General features: G+C 37.3%; 1 protein-coding gene across 22 annotated transcripts in view, besides 3 other annotated features; it reads right to left on the bottom strand.

Moving 5' to 3' along the window:
* Nucleotides 1-24,182, bottom strand: part of PDE4D (phosphodiesterase 4D) — a 1,553,091-nt gene that overhangs the window by 737,616 nt on the left and 791,293 nt on the right. The window lies entirely within an intron of this gene.
* Nucleotides 2,449-3,181: an enhancer, noted in NCBI's record as "OCT4-NANOG-H3K27ac hESC enhancer chr5:59004928-59005660 (GRCh37/hg19 assembly coordinates)". NCBI's record gives its function as "activates a minimal SCP1, AML or CMV promoter by ChIP-STARR-seq in naive and primed H9 embryonic stem cells {active_cell/tissue: H9 hESC(naive and primed)}" and the evidence as "EXISTENCE:reporter gene assay evidence [ECO:0000049][PMID:30033119]".
* Nucleotides 3,310-3,604: a silencer, noted in NCBI's record as "tiled region #14831; K562 Repressive non-DNase unmatched - State 24:Quies". NCBI's record gives its function as "represses a minimal TATA promoter and a strong SV40 promoter by Sharpr-MPRA in K562 cells {active_cell/tissue: K562}" and the evidence as "EXISTENCE:reporter gene assay evidence [ECO:0000049][PMID:27701403]".
* Nucleotides 6,556-6,756: a silencer, noted in NCBI's record as "peak5261 fragment used in MPRA reporter construct". NCBI's record gives its function as "represses an SCP1 promoter by STARR-seq MPRAs in K562 erythroleukemia cells {active_cell/tissue: K562}" and the evidence as "EXISTENCE:reporter gene assay evidence [ECO:0000049][PMID:32103011]".

Consider the following 24,182-nt stretch of genomic DNA (forward strand, 5'->3'; position numbering starts at 1 on the left):
AATGAATTCTAGAATGTATCCTTTGCTTATAGGACATAACCCATATTTATAGAGATATTTTCAATATGGTGGAGCTAGTGGTAGGGTAGAAAGAACATAAAATTGACTATAAGGAAATATAAATCCTTTTCCGAGCTCCTTCTCCTTATGCACACATATATACATATTTGATAAAATAATGGCCCTGAAAAAATATTAGAGTGGTTTTCTTAAAACCTAAAGAAAATGGTATCCACATCAGTGATGCTCAATTGCTTTTTATTATGGACAATGAAACCAAATTAGATTAATCATAAGGCAAAATTTCAAATGAAACCAGTAATACAGACATAGTGTCTGTAAGGTTTTATAGCAGAACATCAGCAAGATAGCAGAAACTTAATGCATGAAGTAACCTCTCAACCTTGTTAAAGAATTTCTTTTATATTTCTTGATAAAATAGTTTTTGTTACAGTTAGTAACATTATTTTAAAAACTGTACGTCTTCTTAGCTGTACACAGAAGTGAGACATCACTAACCAGAGATTTCAATATAAATATCTTCAAGTAAAAATGACATAGTACATGTTCAGAGATAGCAAATGGAAAAACAGTGGATTGATTTTTATAACTCTTCGTGAATAAATTCTTTAATGCAACAAACATTTATTGAATTACTGTTTTTCTTGGCACTGAGGGGAATAAAAAATGAGAAAATACAGTCTCTGCCTTTATGGAGCTCTCAGTCTTGTGGAAACTCATCCACAAGATGGTCACATGCATATGTTGGTCTAGTCCCAGGCCTTAACAAACTATGGCCCTCAGGCCACATCTAGCCCATAGCCTGTTTTTGAAATAAGATTTTTTTTAGGTTTTTATTTTTTTTGTTTTTGGTTCTGGGGTACATGCACGGGATGCACAGGTTTGTTACATAGGTAGATGTGTGCCACAGTGGTTGCTGAACCTATCAACCCATCACCTAGGTATTAAGACCAGCATGCATTAGCTACTTTTCCTAATACTTTCCCTCACTAAACCCCACTCCCTGACAGGCCCCAGTGTGTGTTGTTCCCCTCCCTGTGTCCATGTGATCTCATTGTTCAGCTCCCATTTATAAGTGAGAACATTCATCCACGTCCCTGCAAAGGACATTATCTCATTCCTTTTTATGGCTGCATGGTATCCCATGGTGTGTATGTACCACATTTTCTTCAACCAGTCTATCATTGATGGGCATTTGGGTTGATTCCATGCCTTGCTATTGTGAATAGTGCTGTAATGAACATACCTGTGTATGTATCTTTGTAACAGAATGATTTATATTCCTTTGAGTATATACTCAGTAATGTGATTGTTGGGTCAAATCCTATTTCTGGTTCTAGATCTTTGAGGAATCGCCATACAGTCTTCCATAATGGTTGAACTAATTTACATTCCCACCAGCAGTGTAAAAGCGTTCCTACTTCTCCACAACCTCACCAGCATCTGTTGTTTCTTGACTATTTAATAATGGCCATTCTGACTGGTGTGAGATGGTATCTCATTGTGGTTTTGATTTGCATTTCTCAAATGATCAGTGATGTTGAGCTTTTTTTTCATGTTTGTTGGCTGCATGAATGTCTTCTTTTGAGAAGTGTCTGTTCATGTCCTCTCAAACAAACCCCACAGCTAGTAGAAGACAAGATCCAGAACAGAACTGAAGGAGATAGACATGAAAAGCCCTTTGAAAAATCAAGGAATACAGGAGCTGATTTTTTGAAAAAATTAATAGATAGACTACTAGCTAGACTAATAAGGAAGAAAGAGAGAAGAATCAAACAGACATAATAAAAAATGATCTTCCATGTAAGACGCTTATCACAATGTCTAAGGGACAGAAAGCTGGGAGTCTATGGAGCTTATGAGAATAGGCTTTATGATAGTTGTGGCTCCTTGGTAACAAAAGCTTGCCAGTCAACAAAATTCAGTCCAAAATCTGCTTTCATTACTACATTAGACATGATGGCTTAGTTGTGGGAGAGGACACCTATGTACCTTATCCTCTTTCAATTAATGTAGACTATGATATTCACCAAAAAGACTCTGATAACCATGAAGGGTCAAATTAGCTATGTCAATTCATGATGATTAATTTGAACATAAATTATTAATTTTGATAAAGAGGTATTACCTAAGCTTTAATTAATGAACGTTCCACTTCTACTTAGGACGTGAAAGTCACCCTGAGTTTATGTCAATAGCATTGGCTGAAAAGTCTTAATTTCTCATCTGGCTTTTTTTTTTTTTTTAATCGAGGATATCCCTTCCTCCAACCCAAATATATTTTCAGCAACACTCATGCCAACCCTTATCTGATGTTGAGAAGCTGTGAATTTGATAGCAGAATCATAACATTTTAGACTTAAAAAGTGCTTTAAAGATCATCTACTTCTTCTACCCACTCAACTAATAGTTTTATACTTGAGGAAACAGAGTTGCATGGAAGTAAAGGAACTCGACTAAAATGATCAAGCTAGAGACTGAACCAGGATCAGAGCCCTTTCCCCTGCAGCCCCGGGAAAAAGAATTCATGTTGAGGAAATAAGGAAAAGTGTTTAATACTTTCAGCTAAGCATAAAATTCCTAAGAACTCTTCTCTATAAACAGAAAATCTAAACTCTCCAAAAGAATCGCACCCCCTTAGCTGTAACAAAGTCTCTGCAGTTATTTCACAGCTGAAAGCCAACTGACACTGATTCCTGGGTGGTTTCACTAAAATAGAATTTTCTGAAATGCAAACTCACCTCCCAAGGAAGAATATGAATTTGAAAGAGGAAAGGTGTTAGTGGCGCCAACAACTTGCTACCCTGCTGAGAAGCTTCCAGATAGCCAGAAACACAGCAGGGAGTAGCAAGAAACAGAAGTTACAGATGAAGCTGCTCTTTAGTCACAAACTTGTTTCTGACAGCTCTTGTTGAAAAACCTGGGGACAGCTGAACAGAAACGTTAGTCCAGAGGCAGCCTCAGGGCTCAAGTGCTCAAGGATCTCATCTCAGTGTAAATATTCCAACTTCCTCTCATCCTTCTCCTACTGAGGGGAGGAGGAGACCAAAGGGAGTAGACGATTTGAAGGCAGTTGCTAAATGAGAATCGCTGGGTGGTATGCAGAAAATAGCATGGTTAGCTTAGATCCTACAACCAGTTTTCAAAAATAAAGGAAGTAATAACCATTAGCATAATGAGAATACAAATCCCAAGTCTCCATTACTTTAGACAGAACTCTGCAGGAGACCACCTAAGGAAAATCTGGGGGAAAAGAAGTTTCCAATCAATTGCAGCAGATTTAACTGATTCCCTTCTGTGGGCACAGCATGGTATTGAGAGCTTTGGGGATTATTAGGGAAAGAGAGGACATGCTTTCTTTCCTTGAGAGATTCTGATTCTGGGTGAGACATGGTGACTATGTGCATCTGAATATGCTACAAGGATATAAACAATTATACAACGAACCAGAACTATGCTGGCTCAGTGCCCAGGGAAGTCGGAAGAATTCAAGTCAGGACCTTGAGTCAGGGATGAAACAGGAATGGTTTTATGAAGAAGTCAATTTTTCAGCTGAGTTTTATACATGAAAGGCCATCTCGTTTAGCCGAAAGTACAGGAAGGGCCTGTACTTAGCATGAGAGGCAGGAAAGCAAGAAAGCCTTTGTATAAAATATGGTGAAAGAATCAACAAAAGCTTCTGAAGCCTACATTTATATACAGAACTTATTCTTTATCCAAAATGTAATGTGGGGATTCATGAAGATGGCAGAACTCCAGTATTCTGCACATTAATAATGCAATGAGCATGTCTATGGCACTCTAATCCCTTAAAATTTCATTTGTAAAATAATTATCCTTGTTCTCATAACAGGGAAAATAAAATCCTAGGCTACAGTAACAAAATATATTATTTAACTTAATGTCAATGTTAAAAATAAAATAGTAAGAAACAGTCTGATATTATATTTCACAGTTATCAGGATTGTGATTGTAAATCCTATAAATGTCATATCCTGATTAACCTTTTAGGAGAAAAATACTCCATTGGTGTAGTTCTAACACTGTTTTTGAGATGAAGCAAAATTTCTCATCAATATTTCTATTCTGACTGTTTGGATATTTAAAAGTCATATAACCTAATTTCAATTATGTTATAAAGAATAGGGTTAACCAATAGCTACCACCTGAGGAGCACTGACTGAACCAGGCATACGGTAGGAATTTTACATGGTTTTATATGTGATACTAACAATAGCCTAATAAGGTACCATAACTCCATGTACATTTTACAGGGAAAGGAAGATGTGGAAAGTTGAATGAATGTGCCCTTGTTCACAATGCAGGCACTCCAAACCACAGCATATTAACCAATTTGACAATCACCTCTTAGAGGGTTCTCTATTGTCTTCTCTAATAGGACCTGCAGAGGAAAAGATACAAATTCCATTCTGCTTTACCTCTGCAGTAAGTATGGAAATGTATCTCACATTGTTTCTTATTCATGTCTTTTCAATCTGCCTATGTCTTCAGAGAATTCTTATCACTACATTGGGAAAATTTTCTGCAAGCTGACATATCACACTTCCAGGGAATTTTTGTTGATATAAGACCATTATTTTGTCCCAAGAGTTCTCATAATTGCCCTTAGTATAATCCCTTAAGTCTCTTTCCACTGCAGTATTTATCTTCTTTTAAAAATAATAGTTAAATAAAAATTAACAATGTAAATTAGCTAAAAAAATTAAAAAAAATAATATATCCATTCATTTATCTAGCCAGGCTGTAAATACTCCTCTGTTGCATAATCTTTCAATTCTTTCATCATACTTTCTTCTGCTCTCTTCACTCCCTTCAAATTGTCTGCATATTTTTTATCCACTAGGATTGAGTTTCTGTGGTTGAGGCTCTGCCTAAAAGCTAGTTGGGAATCACAATCAAAATGGATTGTTCATCATTTACTACAACCTAACTATAACTTCCTAGTTTTTGTCTAATACAAGATCTGCTCTTTATGCCTTCATCATTTCCAATGCCAAATTATTCCAGCGATTTTTAATTGGTAGCATATTATTAATACACTATGCATCTTCTTTTGTATATTATGATATATTACTTCTTGTTGACATCTCAACCAGAAAAAAATGGTTGAGGAAAATGCTTATAAAGGTTATATAATGTTCAGATCTTATTCATTAGCAACTCTCATGAAATTTTCTTTGGTAAGGAAAGGGAAACAGCCCAATGACATTTGTGCTTATTTGTGGATTTTACTTATCCATTCACTCTTTCATTAGCTCTCATATTTGACTACAATTTCCTTTGCCAATTACATTATAAAAATCAAGTACATTTCCTTCAGGCCTTTTCAAAGTTTTCCCCAGTGAGTTTTAATTTGACTTCTGATGCATGGACCTGCTTTGACAATATTTAAATAGAATATTTATACAAACTGATGCTTCTTTTCTACTCGTTTTAGAGTATATAAACTGATATCAGAAGGCTAAAATAACATCAAACAAAGTTATCCTAGAGCAGTCCATAAGTAAAGAATTATAATCTTCAGCTCCATCTCTCTCTACCATATTCATTACCTTTCCATAGTCTCATAATATTTTTCTAACCTTATGGTCTAAATGATCTCGTTCTGTCTGTCTATCCATTTGTCTGTCTCTTTCTCTCCCTCTGCAAATCAGATAACTACATTATACAAATATAAGAATAAAGGTTAATATTATTCATATATATATATATATATATATATATATATATATATTTAAGTTGTTTTATTCTAAGTTCTTTATGTTACTCATTAAAACCCCACCATTGTTACCAGGGATTTATAACAGATTTATTAGTCCACTGAATTTACCCAACATTGCTACCAGGGATTTATAACAGAGTTATTAGTCTACTGAATCTATTCTGCCAAAAAATGTGCTGATACAGATTCTGCCCAATGAGCATAAAGCTATTTTTAAAAATATAATAATTATAATAATATATCTATAATGTATATACGCTATAGGGTTAATAGGGTAAGTTTAATTTGCAAAACACCAAACACAAAATTAATTTCATAATTACTGAAACTAGAAGGCAAAGGTTCTGAGCAGGGGCCCAAGATTTATGTTTCAGGCATAATAACATTGGTGGACAAGGTTGTCACATTTCAGAGATGTGGTTATCATATCTCACATTTAAAGTTACAATTATTATAATGAAATAAATAAGGTTGACAACTGTTTAAAGAATTTTTGAGTGAATAGTCCAGTATAAATGTTTTACTATAACACTGGAATATTTAAAGTTACTTATCTAAGAATTTAAATTTCAACTGCTTTGGCATGGATATCATCATTCTGAGGTTAGAACTTCTGTGACATAAGCAACTATTTTAGGAATTTGACAGCATTAAAACAAAGTTAAATAGTACTGTTCAAACTGGATGCAAGAACTCACAGGAAAAAAAACAATAAGTGAACATTTGAGAAGATAGGCAACTTTGCTAGCAATTAGGAAAAAATAATTAAAACAATAGTGACAGACATACCTCATCTGACAGGCAAAAATTTTAAAAATCTGATTTAAGGAAAATGTATGCGCTGCAGTCAATAGGCTGAGGCAGACATCAGGTCCAGCATGACTCAGCAAGTTTGGAGTGCAGGTGCACAATTCTGCACATTATGTAACTACACCACGTAAGGCGCATTAGGTGATCACCCACATGAGCTTGTAACTGGCTCAGAGCCACTATTGTCTGTAAAAGGTATAACTACCGGACTGACACTGTACCTATGGTTTGCACCTACGGCTCACACTCAGACAGTAAAGGCACGTTGAAACTGTGCATGATTCCTCTAGTGTTTTTCCAGCTACCCACCACTCACCCACTGACTCCCCTCAGACCTCAGTTAGAACCTGACAATTGGCATCACGAACAGGATCCCAAGGTGGGCGAGCCTTTGGTCCCTGCTGATTCTGGGTTGGCAATGTGGCCACGACATGGGTTGTGGTACCTGGTCACAGCTGTGCTGCAAGGGTGAACTCTGTTGGAAACCTGGCCAGCAGTAGATGGGTACCCCACGAGCACGGAGAAAGCACTGAAGCAGCTGGAAGTGCAGAGCACCGAGAAGGAATGAGCCTTTGACAGCAGAGTTGGATGGGCATTTTTTCTGTGCTACAAGAAGTACACTCCCAATCCCTGAGGGATGCAGTGCAGGAAAGGGCCTTTTGGGCACAGGCAGGGTGCCTGGAGGCCCAGCTACACAGCTTAGAAAAAGAGTTAGAGGCTGCCATGAATGGGGATCTCCAGGTGCAGGTGGGGTGCCTGAAGGCCTGGCATAGGGTTGGAAAGGGAGTTAGAGGCTGTTGTGAATGCAGGCCTGGGTCCGTCATCTCAGCCAGAGACCCCTGCTTGGTCTGGGTCTGCACTGTAAAAAAGGGGAAGATGCCCCACCTGCAGAGCCTCCCCATCATGGAAGAAAAGGGGGCCCCAACAAGTGACCCACTCACAGATGTGGATAGATTTGACTTTGGCCAGGGTTGACTGAGAGAAAATCGATAAGCAGCCCAATGAAGTACTCTTAACTTTGTGGAGATAACTGTCTCAAGAGCAGCAATTCCAGGAAATGCAGAAGGGGAAGGAGGACATTGCTGTATGACCTGGTCCCACTCAGGTGCTTCAACTCAAAGACTACTTGCTGCAGCCAGGTGGAAATGTTGAGCTTTTTCTGTTTGATTAGGGAACTGGCTGAGGTGCCTGGCCTGGGGGGACACCAGACAAATAGAGGCCACATGTGAAATTAGCAATCCACTGGTCCTCCACCAACATACAGCAAGTGCTGGCACTGGTAAACACCAGCGCTGATATATTCTGGGGGTGGATGTTTTACATGGCCTGACAGCCATCCCATCTATTACAGATTTGATGGACCGCTTGATGATGGAATTTGGACAGTGCCACTATGTGGTGGACTTGATTAATGCATTTTCAATTAACATTGCTCTAGAGAGCCAGGAACAGTTCGCCTTCACGGGAAGGTGACAGTGGACTTTCATAGTGTTGCTGCAGGGATATATGCATAGCCCCATCATATGTCATGGTCTTATTGATAATATTATGTTAACCTCTGATTCTCTTGCAGATTTAGAAGCGGCAATGCTCCTCTTGCCTAGAATTAAGATAGTGTGGCTGAGACTGACTTCCTGGCAGCTAAATAGGCTATTCAGCAGGCACAAGCCCTATGGGTAGTTGACCAAGGGTGCTCATTTGAGTTGGATGTGCATGTGACCACAGATGGTTTTGGCTGGGGCCTGTGGCAGAGCATGGAGTGCTTGAGAACACCAGTAGGCTTTTGGTCCCAACTATGGAAAGAAGCTGAGCTCCAGTATTCACTGATAGAGAAGCAGTTAGTAACTGCATATGCTGCCCTTCGGGCTCATGAGAGCATGGCAGGACAGGCTACAGTTGTCGTGTAGACGAGTTACCTGATAGCAGGATGGATGTGTTCATTGATAACAACCCCCCGGACTGGGACAGTGCAGACATCCACTTTAGCAAAGTGGGGCACCTACTTGAAGCAACAGAGTACGCTGAGTACAAGTCCCTTAGCAGCAGAGTTGCAAGAGGTCTTGAGACCAGCAGTCCTAATGCAAGATAAGGCCATGGGGCCTAAGGACATGGGGCCTGAAGCACCCCTACATGCTGAGCCTTCACCATTTAAGGAAGGGCATCCCCCCCTATGCCCGATGGGGCACGGTACACAGATGGGTCTAGCTGGGGTGCTGCTACTGCCTGGACTGCTCACAGTCCAGCCTAGTACTGACTCCATATGGTTTCATACCGGGTATGGACAAAGTAGTCAATGGGCTGAAGTCAGAGCAATATGAATGGTGATCACCAAAGAGGTGACACATATGATAATCTGCACCAATAGCTGTGTGGTCTATCGAGGCTTAACCTTGTGGTTAGGCACCTGGAAAATACAGAAGTGGCTAGTTGGCCACTGGCCCATGTGGGGCTAGGCCATGTGGCAAGACCTATGGGAGGAAGGATGACCTCCTATGACCAGGATGGAAACGGATGGTAACCTGTTGTTGCATGCCCCAATGCCCCTAAAGGTAGGGAAATAAAAACCTGGCTTAATGCATAAAGTAAATTCGGGTAACATCATCATGGGGTGTTTGCCCGTCATAACCTGGAGTTGTTGCTCCTTGTATTACTGCTGTGGCCTCTGGGTCTGGGGTTCCACCCTGTGGGCATGTTTCTCCATTTAAAAGACTCCTTCAGCCTAGGGAGTAGAATTTAAGGCCTATGTGTCAGACCTGTGTGTCCAGGGCCTTTGTCCCCAGAGTGTACGTATAAGGCCTGTGTCTTAGACCTGTGTGTCCAAGGCCTGTGTCTCCTTTGGCATTGAGGGTGGAGTGTAAGGAAAATGGATGTGCTGCTCTCAAAAATAGGCCGAAGCAGACATCCGGTCCAGCATGACTCAGTGAGTTTGGAGCACAGGCTCACAACTCTGCACATTATGTAACCACGCCACGTGAGGCACATTAGGTGATCACCCATGTAAGCTTGTGCTTGGCTTGGAGCCACTATTGTCTGTAAAAGGTACAACTACGCTGCTGACGCTGTACATACATCTTGCGCTCATGGCTCATGGCCAGAGAGAGAGTAAATCCATGTTGAAACTGTCTACAGTTCCTCACGTGTTTTTCCAGCTACCCGCCACTTGCCCACCAACTCCCCTTGGACCTCAGTTAGAACCTGACATCTGACAAAATCAAATGTTACAACAATGTGATAAACAGGTAACCCTCATACACCGATTGCCAGACAGTAAACTAGTATAGCCATTGTGGAGAGGAATTGAGCATCGTATAGGGAAGTTGGTAATCCTCTTACTTTAAGATCCAGCAATTCAACCTCTGGTCACGGACCTCAAAGAAACTCTCCAAATGAGAACAAGCAAACATGACAAGAATATTCACAGTAGTACTCATTCATTCATTTATTTATTCATTTCACAAATATCCATTGAGTTCACTGCTGTATTTGCTTGGGATATCTCTGGGACTGAAACAATTCTCCGTCTTCATTGGTATGTTCCAGGACACTGCTTTTGGGTACTGAAAAGTTTAAAATCACCTTAACCACCAATGAGGCAACAAAGTAGTGTGTAATCATATAATGAAGCCATGTAACTCAAACTGTGTGCCTACTAAGCACACACCAGAAACTCCAGGAAATCACGACAGCTGTACACTCTAATTTTGGACTTGTTTTTGCATCAGTTTTCTGAAAGATTGTCATGGATGCAAGCATGTTATTATTAGTCATTGATAAAAGAGCACAGAAAGAGGATGTGAGGAGAGCCCTTTTTTCCTTAGGGATAAAACCCTTTCATCTTGGCTTTCATGAAACCCATTACCAGGCAAAACTGATGCGAATTCCTGACTAGAAGAAAATGTTCTCCTGCCTTTATTCTCTCTCAGATGACTCCCATTAATTGATCCCAGGAGATTTTCTCATTTTGCTGCCTTCCCTGCATCCAGCCTTCATTTACCATGACCATCAGGCATCTGCAGGGCCTTGACCTGGAAAAGCTGCCACCATTCCTAGTAGAGGATGAACATAAATTCTCACTCTCAGAAATGCAAATATTTCCCTTGCTGTGGGGATGCATAACTTCAGAGAAAAGCTAAGCATATGGAGCACCCCATGTAAATTACCATCTCATACAACAACTCACTGTAACCTTATCTTTATTTCTTATAAATACTGTTTGTAAAGAATATAAAAAATTGAATTCCACATGCAAGATAAAGGCACAGCCACAATTTCAGAATGACATCTAATATTTCTGAAGTAATAAAATAAATGTAACCCTGTGGAAAAATAAAACATTTAAATAAAATAGTTACAAATGCAATAGGAAACTAAGAAAAATTATTAGGATAGATCCAATGTTACATTAAACTGAGGACAGCTCTTCACTGTGCTGGCTTCATTACGATATTTAAGAAATCTGACAGTTGCAATAATTAGAAACATTTAAGTTTCCATTCCAGCTAGCACAGACAAGCCCTTGACAAAACAATAATAGTGGCAAGAGCCAACAATAGAGCACTTACTGTAAAACAGCAGACATTGTCCTAAACACTATACATATATGTACTCATTCAGTCCTCCAACAACCCTACTTTTATAATCCCCATTTTGCAGATGAGGGAATTGAGGCAAATTGTCAGTTACCTTTGCTAAATCAGCACGTCTCAACTTCAGTGTACATAAAAATCTTCTGAATATGCTGTAAAATTGCAAATGCTCTAGCCATTCCCATAACCCACTCTGATTCAGTACTGTTGGTTTGGTATAGACTGCCCACAATCTAGTGTTACAATCTCCATTTTCGAGAGGTCTGAGGATTGGGCTTGGAAAACACTGCTCCAATTACACTATTCCCAGTGATATTCCCATTTATCTTCAATGCCTCTCTGATGTTTGGGTCATTGTTTCCATGTTTCTGAAGATTCCATTTTGTTTCATTTCAGAGTAAGAATACTTATTTCGATCCAATGAATTTGATTACCTATTCTATGTCCATCTAAAGTTTAATCAAAACAAACTATACTGATATGTTTACACCTTAATTATGTCAGCTTGAACCAAAGACATAAGACTGTTGAAGAAAACTCATTTCTCTTTTCACAAGGAACCTCTAGTAAGCTGGTGAACACCTTCCTTAATTTTTAAAACACTCTAAATAGGAAAATCTCTGGAATCTCTCCTAAACAGACATTTGCTTAAGTAAGGATTACAACTCTTGAAGGCATACATGAAAAATTCAGAAGTTTCTGAAGAATGCTTGGCCATATCATCATTCAAACGCACATAAAGTAATTTTATCAGCACAATTTTCTTTCTTCAGGGCCCTCATAAAAGGAAGATTCTTTGACTCCTTTGCAGAGCTATAAACCAAGAGTAACATCCATACTGTAAGAACAGAGGCTGTTAGAAAGATCTCGAGATTGTGCTCAACTAAAAAAAATTCATTTTCTTATTTTCACAGTGATGAAGAATGATTTTATACAATGAAAGAAACAAGTCATTGTTTTCTTCATCCATGGCAATATTCTCCCTGTCTTTCAAGAAAGATTGAAAATGTCTTTCAGATTGTAGTAATTTGAAAAGTTGTAAAAGATTGTAAAATAGAGGCATATTTATCAGATTTGGGGGAATAAATTTTTTTTGAAAAAGTTCTCAGATCCTTTTGAAAGGAGTTTAAATTGAAGTACAATAAAGGTACCTGCTCTCTTCTGTTACAACTAAAGCCAGCCACTCTTAGAATTAAAAAAAAAAAAAGCCTCTTGTTTCTGGTTTCATATAAGGAGACATAAGTGGCTTCAATGCTGAACAGGAGGTAACACTAAAGGGGTGAACTTTTGAGTCAGGCCATGTACCAAAATGAATTTCTACCCCAAAACAATGGGACTATTCTAAACATGAGCCATTGGTATGCTGGTAAATATTTATCAGTTGGCTCTCCAGGAGAAAAAAAAAGGCCTGATTTGTGCAGTATGTCCATTTCCATGGTGTAACTACTATCAGCATGTCTTATTTCAAGCTACCAATGTGATGGCCCTGAATGTGGAGTTGGGAAGAGATTTGTAGCTGCACCTCATTATATAGTATTTCCACGACACAGATACGATGGACTACATAACCTCAAGAGCATGGATAATAGTAAAATATAATGAAGTACTTGGGAACTAATGAGTTTTGAGTATTGATTACCTTTGCATTTCATATAATTTATTTAATTACGGGTTTATATAATTTAATAATGCCTGTGCTTTCCAACCAGGTCTCAAAATCATTGAATACGTAACAGTTAGTACTCCTGAGCTGGTACTACTACCTGGCTCCAGGCTACCATTGCATGTATCTCACCTTAAGCAAACCTTCCACAATACTGATCCACTTTTATACACATGCATTAATGAATGAAATTACAATATTATTTAAGTAGAAGTTTTATCCCATGAATACAAGCTAAGGCTTTATTAATACAACTCAATATCTACATATTTTATAGCATAACACTATACATTTCAGTGTTAAGAGATATTTTAGAGATCATCTGATCCAACCCTTCCTAAGACTAGCCATGACAACTATTGGGGATGCCATCTTTATTCATTCTCCTATTCCAAAATTCCAAAATTACCACTTTATGCAAAAAGCCACATTCAATTCAAACTCTGCTATTTCTCAAGAACATCCATAATTTCACTCAACTGGTATTTTTCCCATAAAATTCTCCCAACCAGCATCCAACATACCAAATCAGTGGTATTCTCACTATCTTCTGTAAATGCTATGTTTATTCTCCCTTCTGAAGCTGTTTCTTCCACTCTGTCACACATTCATTCATTTGCATTTTCAAGGTGTGTATGTTTGTGTGTGTTTTAAGAGAATGGTAGACTATTTACACACTTGTTAAAATGCTCACTTTTTTTAAGAGATGGGATCTTGCTCTGTTGCCCAGGCTGGAGTGCAGTGGCATGATTGTGGCCCGCTGCAGCCTTAAAATGCTGGGTTCAAGCAATCCTCCCACCTCAGTCTCCTGAGTAGCCAGGTATGTGCTATCATGCCAGGCTAATTATGTAGAGAGAGGGTCTTGCTATGCTGCCCAGGCCTGTCTTGAACTCCTGGACTCAAGTGATCTTCCTGCCTTAGCTTCCCAAAGTGTTGGTATTATAGGTATGAGCCAAAGTGTCTGGCCCTAAAATGCCCATTTCAACTACAGAATAAGAGTACCTGAGCAAGAGCATCTAGAAATCTGCTTTGTAAACAAGGACCCCTCAGGTAAGGGTAAGATTTCTAAAGTTTCAAGATCAACTGATTTAGTGAGTGGTAACTAAATGCTAAGGTGAGAATAAGAGAGCATGAAACACAAGATCAAGTGGTTTAATGGATATAAACCTGTAAACAGTTACAACTCTGTGTTTTAAGTACAACAACATAGTGGTGTTCAAGACCATCATTAAAGACAAGGAACACTGACCAGTGAAGGGAAACTCCTTCACAAAAGAGGGGAGGGCTAAGCCAAGTGCTGAAGAAAGTTCTCTTTTGCTGGTTCTCAGGGGTCAAGGCCCAGAGTGGCTGAAAATGAAATTACATAGAGTCTAAACAAGGGCCTTAGTATGTTTAGACTTCTCTAAGATAGAATTTCCATTATTTGCTTGATAAGAATCACTTGGGTTCTATACAAATGTAGATTTCCAAGCACTGTCCTCTTGTATTAGAGGTTCTCATTTAGTAGGATGGAGAAGAGCTCAGAAACCCAGCAGTTTTAACCTTAAAGAAACTGTTATAGGAGCAAGGGCCACAGAGAAGTCTTACTAAAATATAGGGGAGTAACACTTTCAGATTTATGTTTTAAACTAATATTTATAAGTCTTGTCTATTTTTCTCAGTTTAGATCGAGTTTAGCACCTAGTGAATCTTATCTGATTGTTATAGCCCAAACTGACCTCTTCATTTTATACATCATTAAACTTGGAGTTTGAATTATACTTTTACTTATTTCCTGTGTATTATTATTTCTCTTCTATTGTCAACCCTGAGGAATAGAAAGTTTGTCTCTCTGTATTCTTCGTAATGCCTGATGCAGGCATAAGAACACAGACACAAAGTAAAATTGGTTCTATGAATTCTCAGTACGTAGCCCTAGTTTTTAGGCATGTTAATCTGGAATACAATTTTAAAAGCTAACATTTAATGAGTGCTTATGTGCTAGGGACTACTGGAAGTAATTTACTTATATTATCTCATTTCATTCAATCAACAATATTGTGAGGTAGATGCTAGTATTGTCTCCATTTTACATATAGGAAAATTGGGGCTTAATCATTTTCCAAGGTAGGCTGGGTCCAGATCATATGCCCTTTATTACCAAGCTACACTGCTTCTCCCTACCCTGCCCCCTAAAAATGCTGTTTAAACAATGAATAGATAAAAGAAAGCAACAATGAGATTATAATCAGTAGCAATAATTTTTGAAATAATTAGGTCAGAGTCCTGCATAAAAGATGCTACTATAAACTATAAAGCAATCCAAATTATTCTAAATATTCCCAGGCTGAAATCTGCATCTGCCAGCTATGCATCATTGACTCCTACCTATGCTCTTGATTAAAAATCTCCTCTGTGTCTTCACATTCCCAATGGGAGTCGCATATCAGGAGAGGCGCATCCATGGGTGCAGCAAGAGTGACAATACATCACAGCCTCGACATCTGTGACAAGCCCAGCCTTTTGACAGTCTAGTGAGGGGGTGTGCATCTTGAATATTACCAGATGTGTCACAATCTTTGTTCCCCAAATACTTACTCCCTTTTGGATAACAAAACAGCAGAAGACACTACTCAGAACAATTAAAAAGGTTTGAATATTCCCATACCCTATAATTAATCTTCATTCAATCACAAGCATTTCTGTTCAATCTATTGCTTGAAATGAAATGCTAATAAGGCAAGAAAGCACAACTTTAGGACAATGCCAAAAATGGCCTTCGTTTCTCGTCTTTTGACATAAATAAGATGCTTTTGATCATATTAATGAGTGAGAAATGTGCAAGTCTCTAATACAAGATTCAGTTAAATTACATTCATCCTTGGAGATGAACAACCTGAATTTAAAAGGACAATTTAGGCTGAATAAAAAGTCAAAGCACAGTGCAACTAAAAGTTTATTCTAACTTAATTTAAAGTATTCTAGAACCTTTGCAAATCTTCATTGTCACACATTTTCACCCTTTTCCTCCAGTAGTTTTTTTCCCAACTTCTGCCATTTCTTTAATTCTTTCCATGTTCCTATGATAGTTATATTTATTCTGGATTTCCTATGTCTTTAAAAATTGTTTTAGGTGCTGGTTATTATCTATAAGAAATCTAAAGTGAGTAGAATGATCTGTCTCAAGACATTAAATAGACCTTGTTGGGGTTTATTAATTATTTCTTATAGAGTTACAAACAGTTTAGAGGGCTTATAGGTGAAACCTATCATAAGAAACAATGTTATATGTTGAACATTTAAGCTCCTTGTATACCAGGACATTACTAGGAATTTCACTTGAATCTAACTGGGCTCAGTATACTCCTATATACCAAAAGCCTTTATTGTTGAAGGTGCATAGTAGGAATTCAGTATATATACATGGAATAAACGTGTTTGCCCTTTTTCTGTTGTTGAATGCTTTTGGAAATTCAAGGAATGAATGTGAATGCTTTCTGATTTTTTTACAATTGCTTCATTATTATATAGTCATGGTTCAGCCTTCTTTATAAACTAATAATCTTACTAAATGCTTTCAACACTGATCAGGATGTGACTCACCTCTGTGTCAAATACAGAAGGTACTGAAGTCACATCAAAACCAAAGCAATTTTCATCCCTCATATTCAGGTCTAGTGGAATAGAACAGGAAAAGAGAATCTGCATATACCTTCAATGTTCTTGGGTGACAGAATACCTTAAAAAAACAAGTATACAAGGCGTTTCCTAGGACAGTCAAATGATGAAATATGGGCTTCAATCTCCTGGGTCCTCTAGTTTTCTCATGACCAGTATGTGAATATAGGCAAATTACCTGAATAACTCAACATGTTTTCTTACCCATATAAGAAAAGGAGAGTAAATACCTCATAGAATGTGGTAAAACTAAATGAGACATTACATGCAAAGCATTTAACACAGAGCCTAGAACAGAGTAAATGCTCAAGAAATACGGACTATTGTTATATTTCTGGGATTTGGATAATTTTTACTAATGTGGATAAATACAGATGAGGCGATCCTACAATGAGAAAAACAGAAGTTGTGATGTGTGAGACTTTTCATTTACATACAAACGGATATGGAAAATGGATTATGGATGCAATGTCCCTGATAGGAATGGCAAGGGCCTATTTGGGCATTATACTTTATTCCTGAATCATAGAAGAAATCCTATCACCAAAATACCCATATGGGTTTTCACATTAAAAAATATTTAAACACTTTCTTTAGAGATGCATTCTGAGACCCACGTAAGGAGTTGTCCAAACTAATATTGAATGCATTTGACATGACAGCTGGGTTTGAAAAAGTGCTTTCAGCAAAAGCAGAAGCCACTGGTTAACTTTTCTCCTTGTAGTTAATTACATTAAACAATTTTATCCCAAAAAGGGAAAGAGAGATTAAAATCCAGGTTATGGAGCATTCATTGAGGTTTTCTTTTCTTTTCTTTTTCCTTCTCTCCTTCCCTCAGGTAGCAGAAAATCATGAGCTTAAAAAGAAGCTGACCTGGCAATGTTTCCCAGACTTCTTTTATTCTTGACTTGGAAAAAGGAAAAATTGAGGGATTGAGGGATGGTGATTTTACTTGGTCCTTCTAGGACCTATTTGAAGACTCTTCTAGAGTCAGGTGTTGGTTGAGGTTCACAGCTAATTAATCACTGGAAACCTGGAGAGAATAGCCTGAGGTATTACAATAACCTAGGTATGAAGGTTTCTACACCCCAAATGGCCAAATTGCTGGCTACTTCTGGGATTATCTGGACACCTGAATCCTAAAGAATATGAAGTCCCAGGATCACTTCCTCAAGATGTCAAATTACTCTGATAGAGAAAGATAATTTTTATCTTATTTATTTTTTCCTTTCCAACCTTTATTTTAGGTTTAGAGGGAACATAAGCAGCTTTATTACATGACTAAGTTGCATTTTGTAGGGGTGTACAGATCATTTTGTCACCCAGGTAATGGGCATAGCACATGATAGGTAGTTTTTTGAGAAAGATGATTTTCAAGCAAGACTGGAAACAGAACAGGTAGCAGTTAGAAAATACATGTTTTTGTTTATTTATACTTAATTATGCATAAATAAAAGTGTAAATTATGAAGTCACGATGCCAGTAAATGCTTTTATTGGCTTGTCCACAGATGTCCTCCCTTCTCTAACCCCCTTTCTCCCAAAGTGGGTGTGAGTGCACCACCAGGTGGTGACATAATGAAATGACACATAGGGCATATAATGTCAGGCTGAGGAGAATTTTGGAGGTTCCAAGGATTGCTGGAAATAACTGCACAAACATGGCTCTATTACTAGAGCTTTTGTGTACTTGAGGTTTTATTTTTGTTTTTGCTGAAGCCCAATACAAATATATAACAACATTAAATTGCCATTTATGACTAGAATTTTAAAACCTAAGTCAAACATACTTTCATTGAACCTGGCTCTGCTTTTCATTTATTTTGTCACACAGGGCAAGTTATGTAATATTTTTGAACCTCACTTCTTCATCCATAAAATTCAGGATAATAATGGCTGCCATGAAATAGTTTAATTGGACCTTAAGACTGACTATCTCTCCAAGATTCTTTCCTCTTCTCCCTCCATTCCCCACCATCTCCATTGTCTACTTTGTTCCTTGGCTTTACCTTTCCTTCTGGTTTGCCCGGGGGGGATAAATACCCACTTGTACATCACCTCCTCAGGCAGCGCTGCTCAGCCCATACCTCCGTGCTCATGCCAGGACTCATATAGCCTTTAGCCTTTGCATTCTCCACACTGTTTAGTGTCACTTGTTTCCCTGAGTTTTGCTCACTGCTGGGCCTGTAGCACTGGGTCCATATTTCTATGCATCTTATTAACCTAGGCATTACACCCAAGATATAAACACATTGTAGATATTCAGTGACTTTTTGTTGAATATTTTTAAAGTATAACAAAAAGCCTTTGAAATACCAAGCAAAAAAGAGTACGTAAAAGAGCAAGAGGACTTTCTGAAGGAGTATATTCATTGCCCAAAAAAGGAGATCTATCCCTTGAGAGAGAACTGTAAATCTCTTCTACTCAGCTTGCAAATACAACTATTAAGATCAATGGAATGCACTGCATATAAAGTTGATTTATAGCCCTGGTTCTTTGTAAATGTTAATAGTAAACCTAATTTGAAATGTTATTTAAAAAGAAGCTACCATTTCAGTCTAAAGCATTTACTTTAAATCATTAAAAATTACTTTGTGTTCCTTCTCATTGGGATCTCTTGGACTTAGGAAACAATTTGAAATCCTAAGGGCTTTATTTAATTAAACAAACTCCATAAACATTAAAGTTAGTTGTTTTTTTTCATATAAATAACAGATAAGGTCCCTAAAAGATTGATTGGAATAAAGAAGACATTGATTTGAATCAGTCTCTAAACAATTATGTGACTTTGGCCAAATTAGTAAACTTCTGAGTCTCAATTTCCCCATGAAATGGTTAAGACCACCCTAAGGACTGCTATGAGGGTTGAATTATTAATGCCCACACCACTGTGTCTGGCACTGAGAAGGGTTAGCTCTCTTCTTTCATTTCATCCACACCTACTCTTCAACATATACATTTCTCTAAAGTCAATGTGTTTAATTTTTTTTAAGTTCAATGCTAACAAATATTAAATGCTTCTTTTCCCAACACTATAATTTTAACAAATGAGTTTCAGGCATATTTAAAAATGAGTTTCAGGCATTAGATCATGTGAACATAACTAATTATGTGAAACATTTTTGTCCAACTTCTACATAAATCATAGCTTCAAATTATATGGTCATAAGCCTACAAGATACTCATTGCTATGCACTGAATTATGTCCCCTTCAAAATTCACTTGTGGAAGCCCTAACCCTTTATGTAATAGTATTCGGAGATGGGTCTTTTGGGAGGTGATGAGATCATGAGGGTGGGGCCTGCAATGATGGGATTGGTGCTCTTATAAGAAAAGACACCAGAGAGCTTGCTCTTTCTCCACCATGTCAGAAGGCACTGACTGCAAGCCAGGAAGAGGGCCCCCAATAGAACCTAAACATGCTGGCACCCTAATTTCAGAACTTTCAGCCTCCAGAATTGTGAGAAAATTAATCTGTTGTTGTGTAAGTTATCCAGATTATAGTATTTTGTTGTAGCAGCTGGAGCTGACTAAAACCCTCATGTGCCAACGTAATATCGTTTTAGTTATAAATTTAATATTGATACAACTTTAGCTAAAGGAATAAAATCTGTATGAGAAACAATATAACTTTTCAACAGTATGAAGATATAGTTCTTCTTATTCATAAACACACATATACACTTGCATACATATATGTAAACTATATTTTGAATATAGAAGATCAACTATATAGAAGATCAACTATATAGCCATCTAGTTTAACTCATTGATCATTTAATTCAACAGAGTTGAGCGCCTGCTATGTGCCAGGCAATGCACTAAGCACCGATATACAAAGATAAGGGAGATACATTCTTATCTTAATTGAGCCCACAGCCCAATAGAGGAGAAAGTCAAAACATACGATATATAATAAGGTATGATAAATGCTCCAGATTATAACTAACATAATATTAAAAGTTGTTCTCATACTGTAGAACGGTTCTTCCCTAAAACTGTATCAACTCCACCTAAATTAATCCAACAATAGCCTCCTGACATTTTTACTTAGAGAGACTAATTTAGCAGGCATCTAAGGCAGAATAAAGTGTTTACCTCAACTTTTCTATCAACAATGTTAGAAGTGGAAAATACAACATAATTTTTGAGTCTCAGCTCCTGTCAATTTAAATGAAAATAGACAGTTGGTTCAGCATATGTTGATTTCTTAAAATCAGAAATAGATTTTCCCAGCAATACGCCTCAGGGAAAATAAAATGTGTGGGCTGGTTTATCCACGCATTAAAAGCAAGCTTCCAGCTGATGTTTGATTACATTCATGAAGAAAAAAATATTGTAATGAGAACATCCAATTACTCTTTCCACAGGAGTAAAAATTTCTGGTCTGAGAATTTGTTTCAAATCAGTGGTTAGAACATAAACAAACAAATAAAAAAGGGGAAATAAGTGAGAATGAGATCCTCAGAACAGCTACTAAATTTGAGTAGGCAGAGCATGGTTTCTGGAGTCCAAAAGCCTGTTTAAAGTCCTGACTCTAATGTCTACTGGTAAGGTGCTGGTGGGCAGGTTTCTTACCCTCTGTGAGCATGTTCTTTTACTCAGCAGTAACATGGAACCAAATAAGACCCATTGATAGAGTTGCTCAAAAGTTCAAGAGAATAATTTGAATTCTCTTTCTCTCAATGCATGCCATGTGTCTGACCTATGACAGGCTCTCAATACTTGGTAGACAATAGGAATTATTATTATTGGAAGGAAGAGAAATAAGAAGGAACAGCAACTTGAAAGACTACTATTGGCTTCATTGAAATAGGATCTTTGCATTTTGCCTTCTTTATCTTTGCATCTTGTCTTCTTTTTACTTTCTCTTCACACACGTGACCTAATAATAATAGCATCTGTAGTAACTGTTGTGTTATCATACAGTAGCACCCAGTTTTGTAGGTCTTATTTTACTTAATTTGTAGTCAGTAAACATATTATCCCCATTTGATAGATGAGGAAATTGAGGCTTAGACACGTTAAATGTCTTTCCCAGGTCACACAGTTTGGAAGAGATGACATTAAGACTTGAGCTCTGATCTATCCCGACTCTAAAGTTCATGGTAATATGAACATAATATAAAAGGGAACATAGTATAATACAAAAGAACATAAAAATAATACAACTTATACAATGTTAACTTTCAATTCAGCCCTCCAATGTAATCTGAAAGATCTTTGGTTTGATTTAAAAATCAAGTCAAATCTTTGTATGGCATTTCTCCTGGGAGGCTCAAACAAGTAAACATTCTACCCTGACGTTGTTCTTTCCTTTTCTCTCCTTTCAAGTTATTCAAATGCTCAGTAATAAGCAGCTTTCAACTGAATATGGTGGGGCAAAGCCAGCTGCTCTTTCTCCATGTGGTAGCTCAGATGGACACCTCACTCTTGGTGTTACTGTGTAGCTGTACTCCCTTAATAGCCTGGCCAGCTGTCTTACATAAACAATTATTCATGATTTTAAATTATTAATAATTTAGAAGGAAAACAGATTTCCTGTGACTATATGGCACAATATAGTACATAAAATTGGGTTTGAATATTTGTTTTCTGCACATCCTCTATAGTTATAAAATGTAACTAATGATTTGTGTTTAATTTGTCTCTCAATCCAATTTTGGTAGAGCAAGATTTAAAATAAATGGCTGTAGATTTCCTAATTTGATCAGGGACTCTCAGTTGTTACAAGTACATATGTTATTTCATATAAATGTGAAAAAAATATTTTATGTTTTTATATGAGATCCACTTCTTATGCTTATAATATTATGGCTCCCAGATGTTATTAATGTGAAAGTGTTTAGAGAATTTCCTCTGAAAATGTCATCCTATCCCTACACAACCCAAGATTATTGCAATAGTTTCACAAATGTCATGGTTTATAACCTTACATTTATGAAGAAACTGTTGACATCCTATCTTTAGAGAATGAGAAAGAAAGAGGAATCATTCTGAACAGAATAATTCCAGGAAGCATCTTGGCCTGACACATAGGCCTGCCTAGACTCGGTAGATTTTACTAATATGTCTTTCCAATTCATTTGTTGACTATATTTAGCTTTATAAAGTTAAAGGTGAGAGAGCCTCAATGTTTAATATAGCATCTACTCCAATGGTTCTGAAACACTAAATCTTCTCCTTGAGAAAGTTTGCACCAGACCAACAGAAAGTTTCGTATATTTGTGATTAAGCTACATTTATCAAATTAGAAGCACGATTCATTATTCTGACATGATCTTTACCATTTTTAAAATTTATAATAGCCATGATTTTATCAAAGGATAAATGCAGAGTATAGGATATTTTCAAAAATGAGCTCACCTGGCAAACTAAAAGTAGGCAGTGTAAGTCGCCACATTCCAAAAATCAATATTTAAAATTGCAAATTCCAGAAACAGATGAGGTCTGTAGTTTTACTAGTGGAACCACTAATACAGTGACTTGAGTATTTTTTTTTCACTTAGTATATTTTAACTATCTTCATACTAAGAAAATACCTACGAAAGTAAGTCTAGAAAACCCAATATCAGCCTGTCAATATTTATATTATTCAGAGGGATGTATATACATCTTAATCTTTTGTTGTATTCCTATATAATTCTAGCTATATTTAATTCTAGTTACAAATTAATTAAAAATACCACTCTTAACTTTTCTGGGCATGGGGTTGTAACCATGAAACCAACTTCTTATGCCTTCTGAAACCAAGTCAAAAGTCAGACACCTTAAAAATGCAGTCTTTTGTACACAAATGTACAAAATAGCCCCAGAATAGAAACCTAATTGTGAGTCCTTAGATAACTAGGACTAGAAATCCTTCATCGCTACACTCCTGGTGCTTAGGACAACAGTGACAGGTAAAGGCACTCAACAGACTATGGAATGAGCAGATTCTAAGAGTCAATACTTAGGGTGAACCTTGCTCTATCACAATACTTCTCAATCTAAATGATACTGCAGACCTAGTAATATAATTTGTTCCAAGCCGGAAAACTTCAGGAATGTGCAAGCTGGAATGGGGAAGAAAGAAGTCAAATCCTTTATCACTGAGAAGAGAAACCAAGGGAGAAGCAGGTATGGAGTTCCGATACGTGCAAAGCTTCGTAGATACTAAACTGGGGACAACCAGGTTAAAGTGAAATAACATTACAGCTATGTACAAAACATGTTTCTGCTTCCAAACCAGGGTAATTAAAAAATTAGAATGCAGTTATTTATTTTATTAGTATTAGCTATTAGTTGAGATCAATTTTTAAACTTTAAAATGCAGTCACTTTAATTACAAACTTTTACTTTCAGACTCACATATGCACGGAATAGTGGAGAGTAGAGACATTTATTATTTAAACTAGCTCTGACAATGAGATTCATTTAACAAGCTATTTCAGATCAAAACAGAATTGGGGACTATCAATCAGTTTCCTCATTCTCCCCTTTCATTTTTGGATCAGCTATAAATAGTCACAAAATGTGTCCATTTGGCATCTTCTGTGGCTTCCAGGGTTTAATTTCAACACTCCTTGATATCACAGAATCACTTTAAAGAACAGAGAGGTTGCAGATCAATTATTGTAGTCATGTGCCATATAGACTTTGTGTGACTAACCCCAGACTATTTGTCTATTTTAATAAAAGGAGGTCATGATTGTGCAGAAAGT

The sequence above is a fragment of the Homo sapiens genome, chromosome 5, assembly GCF_000001405.40.
Source record: "Homo sapiens chromosome 5, GRCh38.p14 Primary Assembly".
In the NCBI taxonomy this organism is placed as follows: domain Eukaryota; kingdom Metazoa; phylum Chordata; class Mammalia; order Primates; family Hominidae; genus Homo; species Homo sapiens.